The sequence below is a fragment of the Homo sapiens genome, chromosome 17, assembly GCF_000001405.40.
Source record: "Homo sapiens chromosome 17, GRCh38.p14 Primary Assembly".
NCBI classification, from domain to species: Eukaryota; Metazoa; Chordata; class Mammalia; order Primates; family Hominidae; genus Homo; species Homo sapiens.
The window spans coordinates 32,140,921-32,154,032 of NC_000017.11; the positions used below are offsets into that span (position 1 = coordinate 32,140,921).

General features: G+C 44.6%; 1 protein-coding gene, 1 long non-coding RNA gene and 1 pseudogene across 19 annotated transcripts in view, besides 3 other annotated features; 1 reads left to right on the plus strand and 2 right to left on the minus strand.

Annotated features, from left to right (window-relative positions):
- Positions 1 to 305: 305 nt before the first annotated feature.
- LOC105371730 (uncharacterized) lies at positions 306 to 2,215 on the minus strand. Its single transcript, NR_136413.1, has 2 exons — positions 2,105 to 2,215; positions 306 to 1,793 (listed from the first exon to the last, which is right to left on the minus strand). It is a non-coding gene; the product is annotated as an uncharacterized LOC105371730 (long non-coding RNA).
- Positions 913 to 1,082: an enhancer, noted in NCBI's record as "active region_12026". NCBI's record gives its function as "activates an Ori minimal core promoter by ATAC-STARR-seq in GM12878 lymphoblastoid cells {active_cell/tissue: GM12878}" and the evidence as "EXISTENCE:reporter gene assay evidence [ECO:0000049][PMID:35858748]".
- Positions 1,543 to 1,772: a silencer, noted in NCBI's record as "silent region_8418". NCBI's record gives its function as "represses an Ori minimal core promoter by ATAC-STARR-seq in GM12878 lymphoblastoid cells {active_cell/tissue: GM12878}" and the evidence as "EXISTENCE:reporter gene assay evidence [ECO:0000049][PMID:35858748]".
- Positions 1,582 to 13,112, plus strand: part of RHOT1 (ras homolog family member T1) — an 83,226-nt gene continuing 71,695 nt past the window's right edge. For 12 of the 17 annotated variants that reach the window (NR_110083.2, NM_001288758.2, NM_001033567.3 and 9 more), the window contains exon 1: positions 1,582 to 1,809. Coding sequence is in view for 12 of the 17 variants with exons in the window: in NM_001033568.3 (NP_001028740.1) it covers positions 1,773 to 1,809 (37 nt within the window). In the remaining 5 variants the exon portion in view is untranslated. Of the gene's footprint in view, positions 1,810 to 2,212; positions 5,403 to 11,914; positions 11,985 to 13,112 lie in introns of those variants that run through there. The other 5 variants (XM_047436353.1, XM_047436355.1, XM_047436359.1 and 2 more) reach the window with 5 other exon arrangements.
- Positions 1,803 to 1,862: a silencer, noted in NCBI's record as "silent region_8419". NCBI's record gives its function as "represses an Ori minimal core promoter by ATAC-STARR-seq in GM12878 lymphoblastoid cells {active_cell/tissue: GM12878}" and the evidence as "EXISTENCE:reporter gene assay evidence [ECO:0000049][PMID:35858748]".
- On the minus strand, positions 9,437 to 10,651 carry ARGFXP2 (arginine-fifty homeobox pseudogene 2; annotated as a pseudogene). Its single transcript, NR_002222.1, has one exon. The product of NR_002222.1 is annotated as an arginine-fifty homeobox pseudogene 2 (transcript).

Here is a 13,112-nt window from a genome sequence, read left to right on the forward strand (position 1 = left end):
GTAATCCCAGCACTTTGGGAGGCCAAGGCAGGCGGATCACGACGTCAGGAGATCGAGACCATCCTGGCTAACACGGTGAAACCCCGTCTCCACTAAAAATACAAAAAAAAAAAAAAAAAAATTAGCCGGGCGTGGTGGCGGACGCCTGTAGTCCCAGCTACTCGGGAGGCTGAGGCAGGAGAATGGCGTGAACCCAGGAGGCGGAGCTTGCAGTGAGCCGAGATTGCGCCACTGCACTCCAGCCTGGGCGACAGAGCGAGACTCCGTCTCAAAACAAAACCAAAACAAAACAAAAAATCTGTGGATTACAACTTTTTAGTGACTTTTTAATATAATAATGATAGCTGAGATCAGTAGAGCACACGCTCTGAGTCTGGCACTGTACCAAATGCTTGACAAGTATTATAGTATTTATTACTCACAACCATCTCAAGAGGAAGGTATTATCATCATTATTTCCATGCTACAGAAGAAGGAACAGTGGCTGAGGGAAGTAAAAATAAAAGCACTTAGTCGAGATCACAGAGCTATTATGTGGAGCCTAGATTCAAACCCAGGAAATTTGCCAGCAACTCTTAACTGCTGCAAGAGACCACATGACTTCTCCTAGGAGAAAGGGAAGTTGGTATTACGCACATTTCATTCCCTTTAAGTGTTTATTGTGTAATATTTAAGATAGAAAAAATGTACATTATGCACAGATAGTGCTTCCTCATTAATTTATGTATTTTATATTTCCCACTGTGTGCCAAGTATTAGGGATGTGATATATATTCGCACGCGTATGTATATATATATATTTGCCATTGTGTACCAAACATTAAGCATGTAACAACAAATTCCTCCAGATGGAGAGGGTCACGAGAAAATTAAGGCAATGTTAGAAAAATCATCTAGAGTTTATTATCGAGTGCCACCTCCGTGTCTAGCATTACGCTGGGTAAGCCTGAGTAAAGAAGAGTGTCCGAAAACCCTGCCATAAAATAAACTACATAGACAGAAAAAAAGTCACTTAGTTTGGTTATAAAGAAAGGAGTCTTGTTCACACAGCGTAAAAACGAATCTTATAATCGTATTTTATAAGCATCAGAGGCAAAAGCAACTAGGGTGACGGGCTTTGGGGAGTGGAAAGCGCCGGATCCTGGGAGCCAGTCGCCCTACTCGATCAAGCATTTTCTGACGGCCCTATCCAATAACGTGGGGACGCAGCTGAAAACCATGCAAGCTGATCGCTGCCCTCCCGGAGTTTATGGTCTGGTGAGAAGATCCCTGCTCTGAGTCACTGCCAAGCTCTAGCTATGTGACTTTGAACAGGGAATTTCTGTCCCTATCTATAAAATAAACGGGGTTAAACCAGGGAATCCGCCATTCAAATTCCTGGCCCAAGTGTCTCCGGGGTCGCGGTGCCCAAAGGAGGGTGGGCGAGGCTCCCTGGGCCTGCGCTGCGGCGGCCTGACAGCGGGAGCGCTGTTCCGGCGCAGAGCGCGTTCGCGTTCCGAAAGCGCGTGTCCCTCGCCGCGTGCCGTCGTCCCCGCCGCCGCCGCCGCCGCCGCCGCCGCCGCCGCCGCCGCCGCCGCCGCCACAGCCCGCTGGGCCGGAGGAGGCGGAGCTGGCGCTGTCCCGGCTCTCTTGCGGGGAAGCAACTGAGGGGGCGGCGCGGCGGGCCCCGGCGGCCGAAGAGGCTGGCAGGTGGCGCCGTGGGGTGGGTGCTCCTGGTGAGAGGAGTCCACTCCGTGCGTGCGGGCGGAGGCCGGCCCCCGAGAGCCGCCGACATGAAGAAAGACGTGCGGATCCTGCTGGTGGGAGAACGTGAGTCCGCACCCTCTGGCCGGCCCCTGAGTCCCTGCCCTCCCTGCCCCTGCAGCCCCTGTCGCCCCTGTCGCCCCTGCAGCCCCAACCTTTGCAGCCCCGGCCCTTCTCGCGCCTCACAGCTCCGCTCGCCTTTCTCCGCGTTCCTAGGCCTTCCAGCCCCTTCACTCTTCTCTTTTGGCTGGCCGCCGGCGGCCCTCACCCTGTCACCTCACCTGGGCCCTCCAGAGATCTCCTTTCCCTGTTCCCCAGCCGTCCTCCCAAGCCATGTCCCTATTAGCCCTAACCGCCCGACCTCATCCCTCCGAAGCTTCTCTCCTCCTTTTCCTCTTCGAACCCTGTCCTTCTGGGCCTCACAGTTTCCCAGGCCGCCTCCTTTCAGACCTTCTTGTCTTCTGGAGATTCCCTTATCACTGCCAGGCAGGTGCTGGAATAAGCAGACTGACCAATAGGGATTGCGTGAACCGGCTCCCGGGGAAGCTGGGGGAGGGGTGCAGAACTATTCGACTTGTGGGCAAGGTCAGGTTTCTGCATTTTTTTGGCACTCGCAGTCTTCACTCTCTCTATGTATTGACATTAAGATATGAGTAGTGGAAAGGGCCGGATCCTTTTTAGCAGTACTTGTACTTTGCATTGGACTAACTCCTCGTACTCGAGATATTTCATCAAAAATTTTTACTCAACTTCGAGTTATGCAAGCGCTCAATGAATTAGAATTATCTGGGGAGGGTCCAATTGTTGTTACCCTAAAGCGTAATCTTTGCCCTCTTTTTAAGCATTATTTATTCCATAGTTACTTCGTAGTTAACTTATTAATAACCACAGGCACACAGACATTTGATATCTCCCCCCACCCAGAAATTTCATACATTTCACCTTTTGAAAATATAATAAAGGAGAGTTCCCTCTGTTCACTGACATGAGGACGCAACAGCGGGGACTTCTTGATTTCACTCTGCAAGTTATGTAACTCAGTTGCTAGGACTAAAATAAGAAAGTGGGCCAGGGATAACTGGATTGTTTGTTTTAAAGAGTTAATACATTCGTTAATAGTCTGCCATTGCTGTTTCGAAGCATTCTGTTTTAAACCATTATTTCATTCTTGGTAACCCCTCAGGGTCACCGTGATGGAATCCCAAGGAAGAAAGTTAACACGTTTTTACCCTCTTCTGTAGTGTTCTTTGAGTTCATTGAAATTTCATCCACCTGCTGTTTGGAGAAATCTTCCTTTAGAATTAGAATTTAGGAGTAAGCTTAGCCAGCCATAGTTTACTTTTTGATTTGCAGTTGTAAATTTTTATTTTTATTTATAACTATATCTTAATCTGTATTTTTCATGGACTTCCTTGACAAGGTTCAGGAAGGTGTTATTTAACATATAATTCATGCTTATGCTTTTGGAGCAAGGTAGGGAAAGTGAGTAGACGACTTGCTTAAAAAACTGATCCTTAAATATATGATGAAATAGTTTGTTGTTGTTGTTGTTTTGAGACAGAGTCTCGCTCTGTCACCGAGGCTGGAGTGCAGTGCCTGGGATTACAGGCACTGTGGCTCATGCCTGTAATCCCAGCACTTTGGGAGGCCAAGGCAGGCAGATCACTTGAGGTCAGGAGTTCGAGACGAGCCTGGCCAACATGGTGAAACCCCGTCTCTACTAAAAATACGAAAATTAGCCGGGTGTGGTGGCACACACCTGTAGTCCCAGCTACTCTGGAGGCTGAAGCAGGAGAATCACTTGAACCCTGGAGGAGGAGGTTGCAGTGAGCTGAGACATGCCAGCCTGGGCAGCAGAGCAAGACTCTGTCTGAAAAAAAACCTTTAATAATGCTCCCACACAGCTGGGTGAGGTGGCTTATACCTGTATTCCAAGCACTCTGGGAGGCTGAGGCAGGAGGATCACTTGAGGCCAAGGAGTTTGAGACCAACCTGGGCAATGTAGTGAGATCCTGTCTCTACAAAAAATTTAAATATTAATGGCTGGGCACAGTGGCTCACTCCTGTAATCCCAGCACTTTGGGAGGCTGAGGCAGGAGGATTGCTTGAACGCAGGAGTTTGAGACCAGCCTGGGCAACATAGTGAGACCCCGCCTCAAAAAAAAAAAACCACAACACTATTAGCTAGGCATGGTGGTGTGCACCTGTAGTCCTAGCTACTGGGGAGGCTGAGATGAGAGAATTGCTTGAACCCAGAAAATCGAGGTTGCAGTGAGCCATGATCACACCACTGCACTTCAGCCCAGGTGACAGAGCAAGACTGTCTCTTAAAGAAAAAATTAATTTTTAATGGCTGGGCACAGTAGCTCATGCCTGTAACCCCAACACTTTGGGAGGCCAAAGTGGGCAGATCACCTGAGGTCAGGAGTTTGAGACCAGGAAACTGACCAACATGACGAAACCCAGTCTCTACTAACAATACAATAATTAGTCAGCTGTGGCAGCACGCACCTGTAATCCCAGCTACTCAGGAGGCTAAGGCAGGAGAATGGCTTTCACCCAGGAGATGGAGGTCGCAGTGAGCTGAGATCACACCACTGCATTCCAACCTGGGGGACAGAGTGAGACTCTGTCTCAAAAAATATATATATATATTGATAATAGTAAACAGGATAGTTTTCATTTTAATGGAGTCTTCTTTTTAAATTAAATTGAGATATATTTGTTTTCTACTAGTTAAGTTCCTTAAGAAAATGGAACTGTTATCTTCTTTTAAAATGAATCTGGCAGATCTTTAACTGGTTTGTCTAACTCTGATTATCATGGCAACCTCTGCCAAACTACTTCAAAATTCCACTGGCTTTGGCCTTGACTTTTGCAATATCTCCCTTAACCAGTCTTTCTGCTCCTGCTTTCCTCCATTTTCCGTGGAGCAGGCAGATTCATTTTTATTTTTTTATTTTTAATTTTTTTACCCTGAAGTATAGATTCAAGCTGTCCTGAATATATACAGATTCATATTTAGAAAATATCTCAGATTCTGCTATGCACCTTAAAAATCATCTAATGAGCCAGGTGTGGTGGCTCATGCCTATTATCTCAGCACTTTGGGAGGCCGAGGCAGGTGGATCACTTGAGGTCAGGAGTTCGAGACCAGCCTGGGCAACATGACGAACCCTCATCTCTACAAAAAATACAAAAAATTAGCTGGGTGAAGTGGCGTGCACCTGCAGTTCCAGCTACTTGAGAGGCTGAGGTGGGAGAATCACCTGAGCCCAGGAGTTCGGGGCTGCTGTGGGTCATGACTGCACCCCTGCACTCCAGCCTGGTTGACAGGGTGAGAATCTGTCTCAGAAAATAGATGTATATCATCCAGTGATTTCTACTTTCACTTAGAATAAAGTCCAAACTTTTTAATGCAGTCCTGTAAGGCCCTCCACAATCTAGCCCTTACTTCCCTTTTATGCTACTCTCTCCTTCATTGCTCTCTCTATAAGAAGGCTCTGACCTGGGCATTATCCCCATAACCATGTATATTTGTACATTTTTTGTCCTGTCTCTTGGGCTAGAAAAGAATCATCATGAAGGCAGGGGATTTGTCTTCCTTCTTGCTGTATCCCCAGTGGCTAGAACAGACCTGGCACAAAAGAGGCACTCAGGTATTTCTTAAAAGAATGAATGAGTTCAAGCTAGTTCAGTTTGTTTAGACTTTCCTTGTTTTCCAAACCACTCCTCTTTGTCATAAAAATTTGATCATTTTTCTGTATTATTATTATTATTATTTTTATTTTATTTTTTTTGAGATGGAGTCTCGCTTTGTCGCCCAGGCTGGAGTGCAGTGGCGCGATCTCGGCTCACTGCAAGCTCCACCTCCCAGGTTCAGGCCAGTCTCCTGCCTCAGTCTCCCGAGTAGCTGGGACTACAGGTGCCCACCACCACGCCCGGCTAATTTTTTTTTTTTTTTTTTTGTATTTTTAGTAGAGATGGGGTTTCACCATGTTAGGCAGGATGGTCTCGATCTCCTGACTTCATGATCTGCCTTCCTCGGCCTCCCAAAGTGCTGGGATTACAGGAGTGAGCCACCGCGCCCGGCCTATTATTATTTTTTTGAGACAGGGTCTTGCTCTGTCGCCCAGGCTGGAGTACAGTGGTGCCATCTTGGCTCACTGTAACCTCAGCCTCCCAAGTAGCTGGGATGACAGGCATGCACCACCATGTCTGGCTAATTTTTGTAAATTTTTTTTTTTTTTTTTTTTTTTTTTAGTAGAGAGGGTTTCACTGTGTTGGCCAGGCTGGTCTGGAACTGCTGACCTCAAGTGATCCACCCACCTCGGCCTCCCAAATACTGGGATTATAGGTGTGAACCACCATGCCTGGCCTGCTCTTTTTTTATTTTTTTGAGGCAGAGTCTCACCCTGTCACCCAGGCTGCAGTGCAGTGGCACAATCTCGGCTCGTTACAGCATCAGCCTCTCAGGTTCAAGCGATTCTCCTGCCTCAGCCTCCCAAGTAACTGGGATTACAGGCGCATACCACCACGCCTGGCTAATTTTTGTATTTTTAGTAGAGACAGGGTTTCACCATGTTGGCCAGGCTGGTTTTGAACTCCTGACCTCAAATGATCCACCCACCTTGGCCTCCTGAAGTGCTGGGATCACAGTCATGCACCACTATGCCTGGCCTAAGATCATTTTAAAACCATATTGCTAATCCCAGCACTTGAGAGGTTAAGGCGGGAGACTTGCTTGACCCCAGGAGTTTGAGATTGGCCTGGGCAACATAGTGAGACCCTGCCTCTACTTTTTTTTAACTATTAAAAAAAAAAGCCATATTGCTTTCCATTCTGGTCTTTGTTGGAATGATATTTAAAGATTAAACTGGCCGGGCGCGGTGGCTCACACCTGTAATCCCACACTTTGGGAGGCCAAGGTGGGTGGCTCAAAGGTCAAGAGTTCGACACCAGCCTGACTGACATGGTGAAACCCTGTCCCTACTAAACATACAAAATTTAGCTGGGCATGGTGGCGTGTGACTGTAATCCCAGCTACTCAGGAGGCTGAGGCAGGAGAATCACTTGAACCCAGGAGGCGGAGGGTGCAGTGAGCGGAGATTGCGCACTGCACTCCAGCCTGGGCGATAGAGTGAGACTCCATTTCAAAAAAAAAAAAAAAGATTAAACTGCTCCAGTTTCAATTACACTGTGTTTACTACCTGGGTAATATTCTATGGCCAGGGATGTTCAAACACCCATTGAGGTGAACTGCATCTTTTCTGGGCCCACTTCTGATGCGTGTAGGCTTTAATGAAAATTGCTTAATAAGGGTGGGGCGCAGTGGCTCACGCCTGTAATCCCAGCACTTTGGGAGGCTGAGGCGGGCGGATCACAAGGTCAGGAGATCGAGACCATCCTGGCTAACACGGTGAAACCTCGTCTCTACTAAAAATACAAAAAATTAGCCAGGCGTGGTGGCAGGTGCCTGTAGTCCCAGTTACTCGGGAGGCCGAGCCAGAAGAATGGCATGAATCCGGGAGGCGGAGTTTGCAGTGAGCCGAAATCATGCCACTGCACCCCAGCCTGGGTGACAGAGTGAGACTCCCATCTCAAAAAACAAAAAAGAAAAAGAAAATTCCTTAATAAGTATTTAGTGCTTAGATAAAAGAAGTTAAGCTGTCTTTAAATGCAGAGAAAGTCAAAGTTCAAACATCCCTGGCCATAGAGTCCATTCTGCATAAAGAGTCTATTCTGTTCGTACAGAGTCCTTTCTATAACATCCTCACATATGTACTGAAACCTATTCTCTGCTGTCCTTTATTGCTGCACCAGTTGGTTACTAGTGTTGATCTCGTTTGAAGGAGAAGGATAGCTGAGCGATAGCTTTTGTTCTGCAGGCCACATCATCTGCATGTGGGCAATGAAATTGTCCTTTGGAACAGTGTTTAGCTATTTCGCCAAATGCTAAAGTTTTCCAGTTAAAAATATAACTCCATAGTTACCTTCCTCCCCCTAGTGTATTCTAATTTCAATAACTTAGGAAGAGCCAACAACGCTTCTTACTAAAGAAACATAAAAATGAGGAGTAGTTCTCTTTGCCACTTGAAGCAGGGGGTGTTTGTTATCAAGAAAAATAGCCAGTATGGCTGGTAGATTGGTAATTGGAACCAGAGAATGTTATTTCTGCTTCATGAATATTAGGAATTTGCTGTCATTTGGAACTAGATGTTCAAAAGATGTGATGAAAAGACACATTTGTAGCCTGGATAAATCTGGATAATTTGTTCTATAGTGATGAATTATGTTTTCCATGGATGACCTGCTTAGAAGCATGGAGTCTCAGAACTGTGGCATATTCTATTGAACTGGATCAGAAGGCCTTCTGTCCTTGTGGATAATTGTGGTCTTGCTTTTAGTTTTTATAGATTACTTCAATATTTCTCAGGCAAAATAGAAGAAATAGAGACCATTAGTCGGTTGGCTAATGAAGGATAAGTTTTTTGTCCTCCATATTAATAACATACTAAATGTTTGTATCAAATGTATTTATATTACATTTTATACATTTTATTATAAATTTTATTTGTAATTATTTGTTATAAGTTTTATTATAAAATACAATGTTTTATATGCATTTGTCCTATAACTTTTATAGTAAATATGAAGTTTAATTAGTGTAATTTAAGAAGAGCTTGGGATTTTTGTTTCCTCATAAACAATCTTTATTTTCTGAAGCAGTTAAAAATATATAGTGTTTATATCATATTTGCCATTATTAAGATACCTTTTTGATTGTAAGCATATTTAAATAGTTTTTAGAATTTAATATTCTAAAATGTTTCATTATCTTTAGCATAGTCTGGGTGTGGTGGCTCATGCCTGTAATCTCAGCACTTTGGGAGGCCGAGGCGGGTGAATCACTTGAGCCCAGCAGTTCTATATATATATATATATATATATATATATATATATATATATATATGTGTGTGTGTGTGTGTGTGTGTGTGTATACACACATGCATACATACATACACTCACACACATATATATACACACATACACATATATATACACATATATATACACACACACACACACATATATATATAGAGAGAAGAGAGTCTCACTCTGTTGCCCAGGCTGGAGTGCAGTGGCATGATCTCGGCTCACTGTAACCTCCGCCTCCTGAGTTCAAGTGATTCTCTTGCCTCAGCCTCCATAGTAGCTGGGATTATAGGCATGTGCCATCATGCCTGGCTAATTCTTTGTATTTTTTTAGTAGAGATGGGTTTTGCCATGTTGGCCAAGCTGGTCTTGAATTCCTGGCCTCAATTGATCCACGTGCCTCAGCCTCCCAAAGTGCTGGTATTACAGGTGTGAGCCACTGCCCCTGGCCAAAATATTAATTTTTTAAAAATAGCTTAAAAGTGGCTTTTACACTTGCTGCTTTATTATTCCTTTGATAGTCTCACATAGGGTTAGGTAGGGAGGCCCTAAGGAGAACAAAAAGCCCTAGTTTAGATTTACTGAAGGATTTTTTGACTAAGTCACATTTGTCTGATCCTTTATTAAAGTAGCTGTTATTTCACTGCTCTTCCAAAAGGAAACACAAAAATGATACTGATGAAGATGTGCTATTTTTTTTCCATAAATTCACTGTAATCTGTCCCTTTCCAATTTTGAACTTTTGCTGCTAATGAACTTTTTTTTTTTTTCATGTGTAAGATGCAAGAAGACCTCTTTTCTAAATGGTCCATATTTATTAGTACTCTAGTCAGAGAAATCCAAAGTCTACCATATTGGAGGTTTTCTGGAATTCCAGGCTGTCTGTTAGACTGTAGTCTTTAAAGCCTTGCCTTATCATACTGGGCCAGGTTTGTGTGGGAGATAGGCCTACAGCTAGACCAGCAAAGGTGCTGAGAGAGGAACCCTGTCCTCCTACCTGGTACTTTGTGAGTGAGAGATACTGATACAGACAGTGGAAAGAAGAGCTGGATATCTCATTCTCATCAGGAAGATTATACAGTTCTATGATTTGGGATATGTCATAGGCATCAGAGTACAAAGCAGGAACTGAGGCCACCAGCCTCTCCCACTGAGTATCTTGCATTTGGAAGTCACTTGTGGGACTCTCAGTGAAGGTAGAGTTCCATGCCCAATTGGAAGGGTCTAAGAGCTGAGGTGGAAGGGAGCTGTAGAAATCTGAAACCACGGGAGAAAAAGCATAAGCACTGGGGGATGTTCTGGGGGAGGTGGGCACATTCTTCTTGGATGGAAGGTATCTGGTTTGGTTGCTTTGCTGATTGCTGCTGCTGCTGCTGCTGCTGCTTCAATTTGAATCGCCGGTTCCTAAACCAAACCTGGGAGTGGGGGAAGAGGGGAGATTGTGGTCTGTTCTTGGAGAAGGCATTCCAGGCTTCTCCTGAGTGAAAACAGCCAGGTTATCATCTCACATCCTCTCCAATTTACCATGACACTGGGTTCTTTACTGTTGACTCTGGTAGGTTGAGTTTCAAAGCTAGTTTCTCCTGAAGATTTCTGTCTGGGAACATGGTCTGGCTAAACAGAGCTTCTAGTTCTTTATACTGTTGGCGGGTGAATGAAGTACATTCTTGATGCCTTCTCCATATTGCTGTAGTCCCAGATACTTGGGAGGCTAAGGTGGGAGGATCACTTGAACCTGGGAGGTTGAGGCTGCAGTGAGCCAAGACTGCACCACTGCACTCCAGTTTGGATGACAGAGTGAAACTGGGACTAGCTGGATCCTGTGGTGGTATCACCTTCATGTTGGAATCATTCCTGTTGATGAAAGAGTCTAGCTAGGGATTCTCTGGGGCCATTCTGTTCATCATGGTTTCTGAAATCTGTCATGAATCCCCTTAGACCATTTTCAGTCCTGCGCGGTGTGTCTCTCTCTCAATGAACTTTTTAAAAAAAGGAAATCATGGCCCGGAGCAGTGGCTCACGCCTGTAATTCCAGCACTTTGGGAGGCCGAGGTGGGCAGATCACGAGGTCAGGAGTTCAAGACCAGCCTGGCCAACATAGTGAAACCCCATACCTACTAAAAATACAAAAAATTAGCCGGGCATGGTGGTGGGCGCCTGTAATCCCAGCTACATTGGAGGCTGAGGCAGGAGAATTGCTTGAACCCGGGAGGCGGAGGTTGCAATGAGCTGAGATTGCACCATTGCACTCCAGCCTGGGCGACAGAGCGAGACTCCGTCTCAAAAAAAAAAAAAAAAAAAAGGAAATCACTCTTGGATTTTAATGTGGAAGAGATTCACGTTCTTTGATTTTTAGAAGATCTTTTATTGTACAATTACTTCACAAACTAGATGGTATTTTTTATAATGTAGTGAGTGCTAAATTACCTCAAATTCTTTTCCAGATAAGGCAGGATATGAATAAATTTTTTAAAATCACACTTTAAAAGATAGTGACTGATACAAATAACTTAAACAGAATTGCCCCCACTCTTTGTTACCACTGTGTTGTGTGTCTGTATGTTCAAGCGTGAGTAAAGCTACTTGATTATTGTTGTCTTTACGACACCTTCTCTCCTGCCAGAGTGTTTTCTTTCCTATCTCTGAGGCCTGCCCTGCTGGAATAGACCTGGTGTACTTTGGCGGGAGCCTGCTGCTACACAGGCAGCCAGAACTGACCTTCAGACTAATGAGCAGAGCTGTGAAGAAATCTGAAGTTCCTCATAATGTTGGTTGTCTGTTCTGAAAATATCATTGCAGACATAGGGAGTCCATGGGAAAAGCAGAAGGAGACTGTGACTGGGAAAAAGTTTGTTCTAATGAGTTTTAAGAAGAGAGATGAAGGTCTTTTCTCTCTTGGACCTTCAGACACCCACTTGGGTCTCTAGCAAGTAAATTTTTCATTTGTTTCCTCTTATAAAGCCTTTTAAAATAAACTTCCACTTCTGCTCTGAAAAAAAAAAGAGAGAGAGAGATGAGGAAGAATGGATGAGTTTTAAGGGCCATGGTGAGGGAGGGAACTTCAAGGGGAACAAAACATCTCTTGAAAGCCTGAATTTTGCTAAGAGATCCTATGTGATTGGGATTAAGGAACAAGTGCTTTCTTGGAAACCAGTAGCCTTTCAGTGTTGGGGATTGGCTTAATTTTGATCACATTATTTATCTTTTTTTTTTTTTCTTTTTGAGACAGGGCCTCACTCGGTTGTCCAGGCTGGAATGTAGTGGCGTGATCATGGCTCACTGTAGCTTCGACTTCCTGGGCTCAGGTGATTCTCCCATCTCAACCTTCCGAATACCTGCATATAGGCATGCATCGCCATGCCTGGCTAATTTTTAAATTTTTTGTAGAGATAGAGTTTCACCATGTTGTCCAGGCTGGTCTAGAACTCCTGGGCTCAAGTGATGTGCCTGCCTCAGCCTCCCAAAGTGCTGAGATTACAGGCGTGAGCCGCCTCACTTGGCCTGTTTAACATTTTTTGAATTGTGGACTAAAAGGTAGGTTTTTTTTTCTTTCTGAAACTGATGAGGGCCTTAGAGTGGTGGAACAAGAGCAAAATTTTAAAAAGATAATTCTGAAAAGGGGATTATGAGAAGAATCAGGGTCTTAAGCATATTAAGGTAGGCACATTTCTTATGGACCTAGAGTGGGACTGAGTTATTGAATGTCAGCTTCATTTTTGCCATCCTTAGTATAGTAGATGAAGGATGAGAATATGGAGATATTTGAAATATCCAGGTAGCTGGGCTCTGTGGCTCATGCCTATAATGCCAGCACTTTGGGAGGCCAATGCAGGAGGATAGCTTGAGGCTAGAAGTTTGAGACCAGTCTGGGGAACATAATGAGAACCTATCTGTACAAACAATTTTTAAAATTAGCTGGGTAAGGTGGCATGCACCTGTAGTCTCAGCTACTTGGGAAGCTGAGGCGAGAGGATCACTTGAGCCAGGAGTTCAAAGCTGCAGTGAGCTATGATCATGCCACTGTACTCTTGCCTGGGCAAAAGAGTGAGACCCTGTCTCAAAAAAGAAAAGTGTAAAATATCCAGGATAGCTCTTTAGAAATGGAAAAGTTCCTGGAAATATCCATGCTGGTGGTAGTTGTGATTATGGAGACACTCCAGGAAAAGCAGACATCTCTACTGGGAATAGTCAGGTGCAGAAGTTCAGAGGTCTTAGAAATTATATAGGCATTGTATCCTTTAAAAGGCCTTGCTGTTTTGAGTACCTGGGAGTTATACTACTGCTAAAATAAATTACATAAAGTACAGGGCTTGGTGGACTTGATGGGACTTCATAACAGAGGCATTCTGTCTGTGATCCACAGAGAGCTCTGTCTGCTGTGTATTATTCATATAAACCAATTGTAAAGTTGAAAAATCAGGGGACAGGCGTGG